Raw genomic sequence first — 14,400 nt, 5'->3', positions numbered from 1 at the left:
TATGATACCACCACCACAAGCAACAAAAGAAAAAAATGATATAATTGGACTTCATAAAAATAAAAACATATTTGTTCAAAGGACACTATTAAGAAAGTGAACAAACAATCCACAAAATAGAAGAAAAAATTAAAAAATTATATACCTAACAAGGGACTTGCATCCCTAGAACATATAAGGAACTTTCACAACTCAAAAATAGCAGAAAATGACCCAATTAAAAATAGACAACCGAAATAAAAATATTTTAAAAGAAGTTGTACAGATAACCACTAAGCCCATGAAAAGATTCTCAGCATCATTAAATCATCAGGGAAATACAAATGAAAATCATATTGCAATGCTTTGTATCCACTTGAATTAATAGAATCAAAAAGATAATACCTAGTCTTGCTGAGAATGTGGAGAAATAAGAACCCCTCATACATTGCTTTCATGAATATAAAATGAGGCAGCTGCTTTGGAAAAGTCTGGAAGTTTCTCAAAAAGTTAAATATAGAGCTACTAATTTACACAGCAATTCCACTCCTAGGTGCAATTATATTCCACTTCAAGAAAAAAAATGATATATTCACACAAAAACTTGTACACAAATGTTTAGTGCAGGAATAATCATATTAGTTAAAAGATGCAATCAACCCATATATTAATGAACTAATAAATAGATAAATAAAATGCGAGATACCCATACAATGGAATATAATTTGACCTTAAAAGGAATGGAGTACTGATACATGCTACAACGTGAATAAACTTTAAAAACATTATGCTAAGCGGAAGAAGCCTGTCACAAAAGACTCGATCTTATAAGACTCCATTTATATGAGATGTCCGGAATAAGCAAATTTATAGAACTAGAACATAGATTGCTGGTTGCTTACGGATGAGAAAATACAGGATTGGGAGTGATGAGTAAAGGTTAAGGAGATTATTTGGAGGTCATGAAAATGTTTTCACATTGACTATGACAATGGTTGCTTAACTCTGTGAAGATTAACTAAAATATATTAAACTACACATCTTAAATGGGTGAACTGTATGCTATGCAAATTATATCTGAATAAAATTGTTACCAAAAAAGCTATTTAAAGAAAACATGATTGTCTTGATAGAAAATCCTGAGTAGTCTACATCAGCTAGATTCTCACTTAAAACTAATAAGTGAGTTGACGGTGTCTCGGTACACAAGGTTAATTTTATGGGTTGAGTTGTGTCCCCCTTAAAAATGTGTATGTTGAAGTCTTCACCCCCAGTACCTCAATATGTGGTCTTGTTTGGAAATAAGGCATAGAAGATATGAATTAACATGAGATCATGCCGGAATAGGATGGACTTCTCATCCTGTATCACTGATGTTCTTTTTTCAAAAAAGAAATTTTGGCACATACACAGGCGCACACACAGACAAAGAATATTATGTGAAGAGATTATGCTGATGCTTTTACAAGACAAGAAACAGCAAAATTACTATAATATCACCAGAAGCTAGAGAAGAGACACAGAACATATTTTGGTACTGGGAAGTGAGGTGCTGATAGATAAAAATACCCAAAAATGATGAAGTAACTTTGGAGTTGGGTAATGGGTAGAGACTGAAAAAGTTTTGAGGCACATGATAGAAAAAGCTTAGATTGGCTTAAAGAGACTGTTGGTAAAGTACTAACATTTGACATTAAAGGAGATTCTGGTGAATGCTCAGAAACAAAAGAGTGGAACTATATGAACAACCTCTCTCAGAGAATACATATATTATTATAAGCAGAATGGTTCTTGAAATATAAATGGTGCTTCTGGTGAAGTTTCATATAGAAATGAAGAACATATTGTACACTAATAAGAAAGGTAATCATTGTTATAAAGTGGCAGAGAACTCGAAAGAATTGTATTCTTGTTGATGGAAAGTAGAACTTTAACTGATCAACTTCAATATTTAACTGAGGAAATTTCTAAACAGATTATCAAAAGTGCAGCCTGGTCCTTCCTTTGGCCTATAAATGTGAGAAAAGAGATAAATTGAAGAGGTAATTGATAAGCAAAAGGAAAACAGAACTTGAAAATGTGGAAAACTTGTAGCCAGTCCATACTGCAAAATGTTAGAAAGCTTGCTGTGGACAGACCATCATGGGCACGGATGAACAATCAGTTGAAAAAGACATTAGTTATAGAATTTGTGGATCCAATCAACCATCTCAGCAGAAATATTGCAATTTTGAACTGAAAAGGACAGAGATGAAACAAAGGAAGGAAGATGAAATAAAGGATGAGATGAAATAAAACCCCAACTTATGGAATTTTATAGGCAGGAAATGGGTCAATGAAGATGTCTGGCTGTGGACATGTGCTATGCTTCAATAAAGGGAAAAACTGATGCTAAGGGTGGGGCCACTTCCTACGTTCTAAAGGGTGGGCTGCATATCAGGGCAGAGGGTAGGGTGGCCTCCTGAGTGGGCCAGAAAAAGAAAGCATCAAGGTAAGGGGATTATTATTATTTCTCAAGCCTTGAACTCTAGTGGAATTTCCTTGCTAGGTTTTAAATTTGTCTGGGATACATTATCCCTTTTTTTCCTTCAGAATTCTCCCCTTTGAAATGGAAACATCTATCCTATGACAATCCTACCATTGTATTTTTGGAAGCAAATAACCTTTCAGTTCCACTGACAAAGAGAAATTTTGTACCAGAATGAATACTCTCAGTTTCACCCACACTTAATTCAGATAATATTTGGATGAAATTTGGGATTTAGGGTTAATGCCATTAAGACTTCTAAGAGTGTTGGAATGGGGTGAATACATTTAGCATGTGAGAAAAGGTGAATTTTTGGGAGAAAAGGGTAAACTATTATGAATTGAGTTGTACACGCTCAAATTTTGTATGCTAAAGTCTTAGCTCCCAGTACACCAGACTGTGACCTTATTTGGAAAAAGGGTTCTTGCACATACAACTAGTTAGGATGAAGTTGTACCAGAGTATTAAACCTGTAGTGGTCCCCTAATCCAACATGAGTGAGGTCCCTACTAGAAGCAGAAACTTGGACATAGACACAGAGTTGCATAGAAGAAAGACAATATGAAGAGACACCGGGTGAACATGGCAATCTGTAAGCCAGGGAGGGAAGCCTGGAACAGATTCTTCTTTTATAGCCCTCAGAGGGAACTAACTCTGTAGAGAACTTGATTGTGAACTTCTAGTCTCCAAAACTGGAAGACAATAATTTTCTGACATTTTATCAAACCAGTTTGTGCTAATTTGTTAGGGCAGCCCTACTAAACTAATAAAATATATAAAAATCAATATAATTTCTATCTACTAGCAAGAAACTATTTGAAATTTAAATTAAATACACAGAACCATTTAAGTAGCACCAGTAAGATATAATGCTTATAAATCTAAATATGCATTTAGATATATGCCAGATGTGCATAGTGAAAATGACACAAGACTGATAAAAGAAATAAAAAAAGACCTGAATCAATAGATATTTTGTGTTCATGTATTTGAAGACTTAAGTTGCCAAATTCTCCTAAACTGATTCTAATTTCAATAATATCCCAATCAAATCATAGCAATTTTTGTAGATACTGACAAACTCATTTTCAAATTTGTTTGAAAAGGCAAAGTAATTATAAAAGAAAGACTTTTTAAAAAATTGATCAAATATGGAGGACACACACCACCTGATTTCAAAACTTAAGAAGCTAAAGTAATTTTTTAGTCTGGTTTTGGTAAAAGGGTACACACAGATGCAGCAGAATAGAATATCCATATACATGCCCACACAATGTGATCAATTAATTTTTGACAAAGATGCACAGGCAATTAGTTTGGAAAAAAAGATAATACTGTCAAAGAAGATGCTGGAAAATTTAATATCCATATGTAAAAATAAACCTTAATATATACCTCACATATTATGCAAAAACTATCTCAAAATGTATCATAGACCTAACTATAAAAGCTAAACTTTGAAGCTGTTATAAGAAAACATAGGAGAAAACATTTGGTAAAAAGTTTTTATATATGACTCTAAAATCATAATATGTTTTAAAAAAAGTTGACAAGTTGGACTTCAGCAAAATTAAAGTTAAAAGCCAAACCAGAGACTGAAGTAACATATTTGCAAATCACAATTTGACAAATGACTTTTATTAGAATATATAATAAATAACCCAATTTAATAAAAAGAAACTGAGGGTTTTAGGTTTTAGTCATTTCAACAACAACAAAAAAACAATTAGAGTGGAATTTTAAAAATTGAAAATACTAAATTATGGCACAGATGAGAAGCAACTGTAATTCTCATACACTGCTGATAGGAAGACTACTGGTACAACCACTCTAAAGAATAGTTATGCCATTTCATATGAAGTTAAATATACACTTACTGTATAATATGGCTATTTTACTTTTAGTGTTTTAGATTAAAAAATGAAAACTTATATACACAGAAACCTCTATGCAAAAGTTTGTAGCAGTTTTATTCACTGCCACCCCAAGATGGAAACAACACATATGTGCTTAAACTGGTCAGTGGCTAGAAAATCTGTGGCACATCCACACAGTGAAATGCTACTCAACTTTATAATCAAATGTTACAAATTATCGACACACACAAAACATCAGTGAATCTAAAATGAATTATGACAAATGAAACAAGTCACTCAGAATAATGCATATCATCTGACTCCATTTGTAGACATTTTGGAAAAAACAAAACTGTAGAAGAGAAAGCAGATTTGTGTTTTCTAAAGCTTAGAGGTGGAGAAAAGATTTGAATACAAATAACTAAAACTAAAGGAATTTATTTCGGATGATAGGACTGTCCTGAGTCTTGTTTGTTGTGATGTTTACATGACGCTGCATTTGTCAAATTCATAAAACTGTAGAATCAAAAGAGTGAGCTTTACTATATTAAATTAAAAACAGACAAAATAGTATTTGTCTTACAGTCTAAGTATTACCCTAGTCCAACAATAGATTCTCTGCAAAATTTAAGTATGCATTAGACAAAAAGCTTAAATTGCAAATATTGATATTCTATAGGTCTAATTCATTGACTAAAAATTTAACAAAATTTTAAACTAACAAATGAGAGTTCAAAATATGTCTAGCCTAAATATTCTAAAACACACTTTAAATTATTCTTGGGTTTGAAGAAGAAATCAGAAAGAAATTACCAAGTGCTTTGAGTGAAATGACAATGATAGTTCTAAATATTAAACCTGTGTGAAGAAGTCAAAGTAGCTTTCTGATAAATAAATTGAATTTTTTGAAATGATTGCAAATATTTGAACAAAAGCTTCTATCCAGAATTAGCCAAACTCAAACTCAAGGGTAAGGGTGCAGTCCTCTAGAATGCCAATTTTCCCCATGATTTTCACTCCAGCTGTAAGGAATTAAAGTCAAACAGAAAGTGAGAGGCAAGAGTCCATACAAGATTACCCTCACATCAGATGCCAAATGCAAATTCAGGGTTTCTCCAAATCACCCTCCGTTTTGATGATTCACTAAAAAGACTCACAGAACTTAGTGAAAGCTAATGTCACACCTACTGTAGAGGAGTGAAAGTACAAATTGTTTCTCACAAGGAATGAGTGCCACTCTTCAGTTTTTAAGCAGAGAAGGAACATGCTGGATCTGTATTTTGGACAGGTAACTGTGTCATACGTAGAGTTTGGACTGGGGAGGGAAGATGAAAGCAGGAAGACAAGTTGATTAGAGTCTGAACTAGTGGAGATAAAACAGGAATATTTGCTTGCTTACTTTTAAACATGTGATGGTATTTAAATGTAGTTTATCTGAGTTAATTTCTCTGCTTTTAAAATTAATTTTAGTTATCCTGCATTTTCCTATTAGCATAATTTGATCTAATTGCATGTTTAATGTAAATAGCTTTAATCACATAATTGGTATGTGTTAATGACATAATTTTACTGATGTAATAAAATCTTTAAAAGGCATGGGTAAACATAAGCCTATCACACAGCAGGGATGTGCTCCTTGAGGTCAGAGACTGTGGGAAATGGAAGGAAGCATATATTATCCAGTTCAACCCACTCATTTTAACAAGTGACATTTTACCAAATATTACAGAATGGTCATTTGTGTACCATCTGCTAAATCCATTAAAAAAATCTCAATACACAAAGTAGGATTAATTTGTTAAAAGATAAAAGGAACAAGGCCTTTAAGGAATGTACTAGGTGAGGAAGATTTGGGGATAAAGAATAGTTTGATGTATGGGAGGATTCTCAGCTCATTTAACTCATTCACTTATTTATTCATCTGAGATTTACCAGAAATCCAACTTTTCTAGGACTTTGTGCCCAGGTCTTGTTGACCACAGAATATTAGATCTGAAGCACTGTATTGCACTGCTTCTCATGAATAAGACCTCCTATGCAGTAATAAAAGTAGACATTGATGTGAATCATACAAAATAAAGTAGAATGTTCTATAATAGTATAGCAAAGCACTAAGTGTTATCATAAAGGAATGAATAATGAATGTTGCTTTTAGTAACTTAGGAAGACTTTGAAGAGGGAATGATAAATGAGTTTCATCTTAAATGAGGAGCAGGAATTTAACAGATAAAATAGAGGGCAAAGCCAATTCTGTCAGAAGTAGTAACTTTTTTAAAACATAAATTATTATTACAAAGCCTAGCATGCCTGCATGCTGCAAGGATTTGTGTGGAGAGCATTTAGTCTGAAGCTAGAATATAAAGGACAAAACTTGCCATACTGAAATTGAGTGCTGCTTATAGAAAATAAAAAATTGGTGAAGGCTTTTAAATCTAGAAAGTTATGTGATCAGAATTGTGTTTTAGAATGACAGTTCTGGGGAGAGCATGAGGGTGGCTTAAAGGCACAACATGAGTTACAAATCAGTAAGACTGAAGGTTTTAAAAAAATTGTTTAAACAGGTGGTTGTAGATGTATGGCATTATTTCTGAGGACTCTGTTCTGTTCCATTGGTCTATATATCTGTTTTGGTACCAGTACCATGCTGTTTTAGTTGCTGTAGCCTTGCAGTATAGTCTGAAGTCAGGTAGCGTGATGCTTCCAGCTCTGTTCTTTTTGCTTAGGATTGTCTTGGCTATATGAGCTCCTTTTTGGTTCCGTATAAAATTTAAAGTAGCTTTTTCTAATTCTGTGAAGAAAGTCAATAGTGGCTTAATGGGGATAGCATGGAATCTATAAATTACTTTGGGCAGTATGGCCATTTTCATGATATTGATTCTTCCTATCCATGAGCATGGAATGTTTTCCCATTTGTTTGTGTTCTCTCTTATTTCCTTGAGCAGTGATTTGTAGTTCTCCTTGAAGAGGTCCTTCACATCCCTTGTAGGCTGGATTCCTAGGTATTTTATTCTATTTGTAGCAATTGTGATGAGAGTTCACTCATAATTTGGCTGTTTGTCTGTTACTGGTGTATAGGAATGCTTGTGATTTTTGCACATTGATTTTGGATTCTGAGACTTTGCTGAAGTTGCTTATCAGCTCAAGGAGATTTTGGGCTGAGACAATGGGGTTTTCTAAATAGACAATCATGTCATCTGCAAACGGAGACGATTTGACTTCCTCTCTTCCTATTTGAAAACCTTTCATTTCTTTCTCCTGCTTATTGCCATGGCCAGAACTTCCAATACTATGTTAAATAGGAGTGGTGAGAGAGGACATCCTTGTCTTGTGCCAGTTTTCAAAGGGAATGATTCCAGCTTTTGCCTATTCAGTATGATAATGGCTGTGGGTTTGTCATAAACAGCTCTTATTCTTTTGAGATACGTCCATCAATACCTAGTTTATTGAGAGTTTTTAGCCTGAAGGGGTGTTGAATTTTATCGAAGGCCTTTCTGCGTCTATTGAGATAATCATGTGGTTTTTTTCATTGGTTCTGTTTATGTGATGGATTATGTTTATTGATTTGCATATGTTGAACCAGCCTTGCATCCCAGGGATGAAGCCAACTTGATTGTGTTGATTAAGCTTTTTGATGTGCTGCTGGATTTGGTTCGCCAGTTTTTAATGGAGGATTTTCTCATCGATGTTCGTCAACCTGACAAAAACAAGCAACTGGGAAAGGATTCCCTATTTAATAAATGGTGTTGGGAAAATTGGCTAGCCATATGCAGAAACCTGAAACTGGACCCCTTCCTAACATCTTATTCAAAAACTATCTCAAGATGGATTAAAGACTTAAAGTAAGACCTAAAACCATAAAAACCCTAGCAGAAAACCCAGGCAGTACCACTCAGGACATAGGCATGGGCAAAGACATCATGACTAAAACACCAATAGCAATGGTAAGAAAAGCCAAAATTGACAATTGGGATCTAATTAAACTAAAGAGTTTCTGCACAGCAAAAGAAACTACCATCAGAGTGAACAGGCAACCTACAAAATGGAAGAAAATTTTTGCAATCTATCCATCTGACAAAGGGCTAATATCCAGAATCTACAAAGAACTTAAACAAATTTACAAGACAAAAACAAACAACCTCATCAAAAAGGTGGGTGAAGGATTTGAACAGATGTTTCTCAAAAGAAGACATTTATGCACCCAACAAACATATGAAAACTCATCACTGGTTGTTAGAGAAATGCAAGTCAAAACCACAATGTTATACCATCTCACGCCAGTTAGAATGGTGATCATGAAAAAGTCAGGAAACAACAGGTGCTGGAGAGGATGTGGAGAAATAGGAATGCTTTTACACTGTTGGTGGGAGTGTAAATTAGTTCAACCATTGTGGAAGACAGTGTGGCGATTCCTCAAGGATCTAGAACCAGAAATACCATTTGACCCATCAATCTCATTACTGGGTATATACCCAAAGGATTATAAATCATTCTAATATAAAGACACATGTACATGTATGTTTATTGCAAAACTGTTCACAATAGCAAAAACTTGGAACCAACCCAAATGCCCATCAGTGATACATTGGATAAAGAAAATGTAGCACATACACACCATGGAACACTCAGCCATAAAAATGGATGAGTTCATGTCCTTTGCAGGGACATGGATGAAGCTTGAAACCATCATTCTCAGCAAACTAACACAGGAACAGAAAACCAAAGACTGAATGTTCTCACTCATAAGTGGGAGATGAACAATGAGAACACATGGACACAGGAATGGGAACATTACACACTGGGGCCTGTCAGGGGATGGGGGTCTAAGGGAGGGTTAGCATTAGGAAAAATACCTAATGTAGATGACAGGTTGATGGGTGCAGCAAATCACCACATCACATGTATATTTGTGTAACAAACCTGATGTTCTGCACATGTATCCAAGAACTTAAAGTATTTTTTTTTAAAAAAAGGAAAAACAATTGTTTAAACAAAAGATGGGTTGAACTATGGAGGTTGAAAAAAAATCAATATGTAAAATATGTGCATGTTCCAGTGATATTATAAATATCATAAATATAGAGGGAGATCAAATATAATACTAAAGATACATATAGAGATAACATTATGACTTACTAGAACAACAAGTGGGAAATAATCATGGGAAGATGCCGGAGAGAATCACTGTTAGACTGCATAGATGATAATATCAACAGCCATGCTAAGAAATAGGACAACAGGCTTAGGGGCAAAGACAGGGATTTCATCATACATCTGTTGAAAACATGAGATAACTAAGATTACATATTTATTCAGCCAGTATGATTATACTTCAGGCGTTTGCATAGCATTTTCACAATTTTTGTTAAATCTCACCATCAGTACTATAACTTGCTTAATATTTATCTTTAAATTGATTCACATTTTTACTTACATTTATTTTAAAAAGAAAACCTTCTACCTGTATCATTAATTAAAACAAACACCATCAATTGTCCCATATGAAAATAAATATTAAAATAATGCAATTAAACCATAAAGTGTAAAAAATTAATTATAAGCACAATTTTAAATGATTTTAGTAATTTATCCAAAATATTTTATGCCTGAAAATTTTTTTCTCAGTAAGAATAAAACCCTTTAAGGAGTGATATTTAACTTTGTCTTTCTTGGTTTAAAATGAAGATGAGGCTCTATGCTCACATAATAATTGTACTACTTCGTTCAGAAAGTCATGACACGGAGAAAATGTATCCATGGTAAGAAAGGGTGACATTATTAGTCAGATCGTAATTTCAGTTTTTACTAAGTACTGGGAACTCTTTGAACAGTCATGAAGGAGGCTAGAGGCAACCTGGTGCCTGTCTTCATTTTCTCCCCAGGAAAAGAGATTTCAAGAAACTTAATGAATTAAAAGATTTTCCTTTTTCTCCTCCACCATCCAGAGCTTTCAGGTTCTAGCAGACTCAGAAAGTAGCTCTGGGGCTAAGTCAAGGGCTTAAAGCATGAGTTGCCTTTGTGTTGCTTATGCTTAGTGCAACCTGAAGTGAGAGAAGTACATGGTGGTCACAGCTGTCTAAACCTTGATAACAAAGGGCACTCATTATTACATCGTAGCCCTGCCATGCAAAATCCTAACAGAATCAAGGTCACAGCTGAGGTACTAGAGGAAAAGAACCACAAGTCTGCAGATGCCTCAAGAGCCTCAGCTTAAGCCTAAAATCTTCTCCCGAATCACCAGTGATTTGGATTCCGCTTCTTAGGAAATACTGTAGTTAATAAAAGTGCAACTAGGACTAGGAGAACTGTGAAGACCTGAGCAATGTAGGCATCAGGTAGTAATTGGGATCATGGCAATGGATTGATAAAGATTTTGTATACATCTCAACATTGGACCTCTCTTGTCTCTGTGACTGAGGACCATGTATGTATGATCATGTTTAATCAGGCCAAATTTTTATTATAGCACTTATTTCATTATCTGCCATGTATCTAAATTGATTTACTATGAAAGAATTTCAGGTCTGCATACGTGTATGTGTTTATTTGTCCATGGATGGCAATTGTCATTGTTCAGCTAGAAATTAGGTCTATGAGGTAAAATGCAGGATTTGAGTCTGAGGATGAGTAGCAAGTATACATTTCTTTTTGGAATTGCAGTATTCAAATTAGTGTATCATATTTGTTTGTATTTATGTAAAATCACCTTATGCAAATATTTACCTGGACACTAGTTTTTCTTAATAATGAGGAATTTATATTGATCTCATGTAATCAAATATATTGAGAAATTTTTGAAATATAAAGAGGTGATCTTATAATTTTTTCCTTAAATTTGTCAATATGATAAATGCTAATGGGTTTTCTCATTTTGATTCCTGCCTTGTTTCTGAGATAAACTTGACTTGGGTTATCTTAAGGGGTTACCTTTAGAATGTCCTCTGGCTCTGATTTGCAAATATTTTATTTTTGCATAAATATGCATAATTTGTTTTTTCTCTTTTGTCATATTTATCAAGATTTGATATCAGTTTATAATTGCCCCGTACATTCTTTTATGTTGCAAGTGATTGAAATAGTTTAAATAGCGATGGCAATCTCTAAGTTTTGGATATTTGTTAGAATTCCTAGAAATTACCAGGAATTAGTCATTTTGGTGGTGGGCAGGCAGATCCCTTATCACTTTTTCTTTTGTCTTTTAGACATTTGGTCTCTATTGTAGTTTCCAATGAAGATGGAATTCCAAAAAGTTATCAAATTTATCAGGGCTTTCAAATTTATTTTCATAGTTTTGCACAAAGTAATTTCTTTTTTAAATCATTTTTTTGTTTTAATAGTTATTTTCCACTTTTTATTTCTTACTTTATATATTTGTGCTTTCTGTTTTCCAAAATGAGGTTACTTGAGGGTTTATTTGTAACTTTTTAAATGATTCGATAATTTATTTAATTATTATTTGGTCTATATTTTTCTTTTCTGTCATTATTTTCTTCTTTTTTCCTTATCTTTTGCTTTTTCTGCTTTTCCTTTACATTTGTGCTTAATTCATTATTTTATTTGTATTTAAGTTTTATTTATATATGTATTTAAGGTATAGAAAAATAAAATATGTATTTTATTCTTCCACACATGCACCCTTTATTTTGCTTTTATTTTTAACTCTGGATTTAAATATTGAATAGAAATGAAAAAAAAAACCAAGAATAAAATTAATTTAAAAGTTTGGAAAGAATCAGAGAAAAAGTGATAGAAGATAGGCCAGGGTGATCCAAAATGCTTCTAATTGCCTAAAAAGTAAAAAGAAAAGATGAATCTGAACCAAAATTTACGATTTATGATTGAAGACCACTTTGCTGATATTAAAGTGGACCTGATTCCTAAAAGACTTCACTATTTACCTGAGAAAACTGAGAGAAAATAATACTAAAGACAAAGCAGGAAAAAGTCACTTACAAAAGAAAACACAATCAAGTTGTGAACAGGCATGTTGACAGTAGCATATATTCAAGTCAAATTGGAACATCCAATTTAAGATAATGTGGATATTCTATTTAGAAAGGAAAACCAAGACTTTTCAGCAGTGAAACTCACAAAGAGAAGAAAACAATGATGCGAAAAAATTTGAACAGGGTAAAATTTGATACAATATAATTAAAATAAATCTTCAGATTAGAAATTAAATGACTTAGAGTATATAACTCAAATGAGGTAGAGAATAGTATACCTGTTGATATAATGTTGACTTTGGAAACATGTACATATCCATATTTTTAAAATTATATCACTACCATTAAGTTAAAAATGAAGAAAAGCTTTAAAATGAATAAAATATGGAAGCATGTATTTATTTTTATACCAAGTAAAGACACAAAAATGATTTCAAGTGACTTTTGGATAAAGCACTTTGAATGCATGGTGTTGATATATTTCAGGCTTAAAAAAAATCATTCCTCAGGACTTTTATTATTTTTCATAATTGTGAGATTTTAACTATTTTATGTGAATTCCAGGAAAGATCTGATCTATTGATATGTTAATGTTACTAGAATAATTCTCATTCAGTTTAAAAGAGACACAATTATAAAATGGAGAGGCTGGGCATGGTGGCTAAAGCCTGTAATCCCAGCACTTTTAGAGGCTGAGACAGTAGGATCACTTACTTGAGGCCAGTAATTCAAGACCAGCCTGTGCAACATAGGAAGACCCTGTCTCAAAAAAAAAAAACAAAAACAAACAAACAAACAAAAACAAAATTTAGCTAAGTGTGTTGGTATGCACATGTAGTCCTGGCTACTTGAGATAGGAGAATTGCTGGAGCCCAGGAGTTTGAGGCTGCAGTGAGTTATTATCATGTCATTGCACTCCAGTCTGAGTGATGGCCAGAACCTATCTCTAAAAGAAACAAAATTAGAAAACACAAATGGAAAAGAAATGGGAAACTCTTGTTATTAAATTAGGAACATGAAGATGTTCGTGTGAACTGTAACTTAAAATCGGAAGTATCAGTACTAATTAACATTTTTTTTTAGTATAGTCAATAAATAGGATTAGAAACAATATCCTTTCAGTATCAATGAGCAAATGTTCTGCCCAGATCTTCATTTTCCAATAGACTCTGTATGTCTAATTCATTTCCTGGTCTATGGTATAGTCTTATTAATAACTTTCAGATAATAAAAAATGATTCTGTCCCTTTAAACAAAAATCAGTCTTTTTAATACAGTAATGCCCAGTTCAATGTAATCATTAACAGTAACCTTCTAATTTTAATGCCCTTCCCCATTTGAGCTGGCCACAGGCAAAGGCAAAACTGAATAGATTATTCCGTCTCTTCAAATATTCTTATAGCCTACTTCTAGCTTCCTAATTGTAATCTCTGACATACTGATCATCTAATATTTTGGGGAAAAATAAGAGGCAGTGAGCCACGGAATTATTCTCATTTGACCTTCCAGTTGTAAACTGATGTTCACATGTGATTGTTGCATATGTGAATAAAATAACTTTCATTCTTGTGGAACTTTGTGATTTCCTTATGTACCACCCCCTAGTAGTCCATTTTCCCATCACCTCTAAACAACCAGGAGTAGATGTCCGCAGCATTTGGCTGCTGAGTTATCCTTTCTCTTCCAGATACCCTTCTTTGGAAGGACATAGGGCAACACAATCCTATTTCTTTTCCATGTGTGGTCATCATCTGACTCTCTGGTGTGCTGGTATGTGTTGTTTTAGATAGAATCTTGTCATTTAAATAAATGCCAAGTAATTATCACTTTTTTTTTCAAAAGAATTATATCTCTACCTATTTTTTGGCCTTTCCAGTCTAATTTGCAAGCTGAAACTGAACAGTCATCTAAAGGTTAAAACATCAGTTTTCAATCAACTTCTTTGTGAGTCAGTTCTAGAGGGTCTGGCATATCATTTTGAAATATGGGAGTAGGTAGTACTTAATGTCATGGGCTCTTAGACAAACTAAGCAAGAAAAAAATTTCACATAAATAGTCATACATTTTAATGTGTTCTACCATGAAATATATTATT

General features: G+C 33.4%; 1 long non-coding RNA gene across 1 annotated transcript in view; it reads left to right on the top strand.

Moving 5' to 3' along the window:
• The first annotated feature begins 2,389 nt into the window (after nucleotides 1-2,389).
• LOC105375147 (uncharacterized) overlaps nucleotides 2,390-14,400 on the top strand; it is a 172,035-nt gene continuing 160,024 nt past the window's right edge. The window contains exon 1 of the long non-coding RNA XR_927026.2: nucleotides 2,390-2,470. This is a non-coding gene — a long non-coding RNA (uncharacterized LOC105375147). The remainder of the gene's footprint in view (nucleotides 2,471-14,400) is intronic.

Source organism: Homo sapiens, chromosome 7, assembly GCF_000001405.40.
Source record: "Homo sapiens chromosome 7, GRCh38.p14 Primary Assembly".
In the NCBI taxonomy this organism is placed as follows: domain Eukaryota; kingdom Metazoa; phylum Chordata; class Mammalia; order Primates; family Hominidae; genus Homo; species Homo sapiens.
This window is presented reverse-complemented; position numbering and strand designations above follow the sequence as displayed.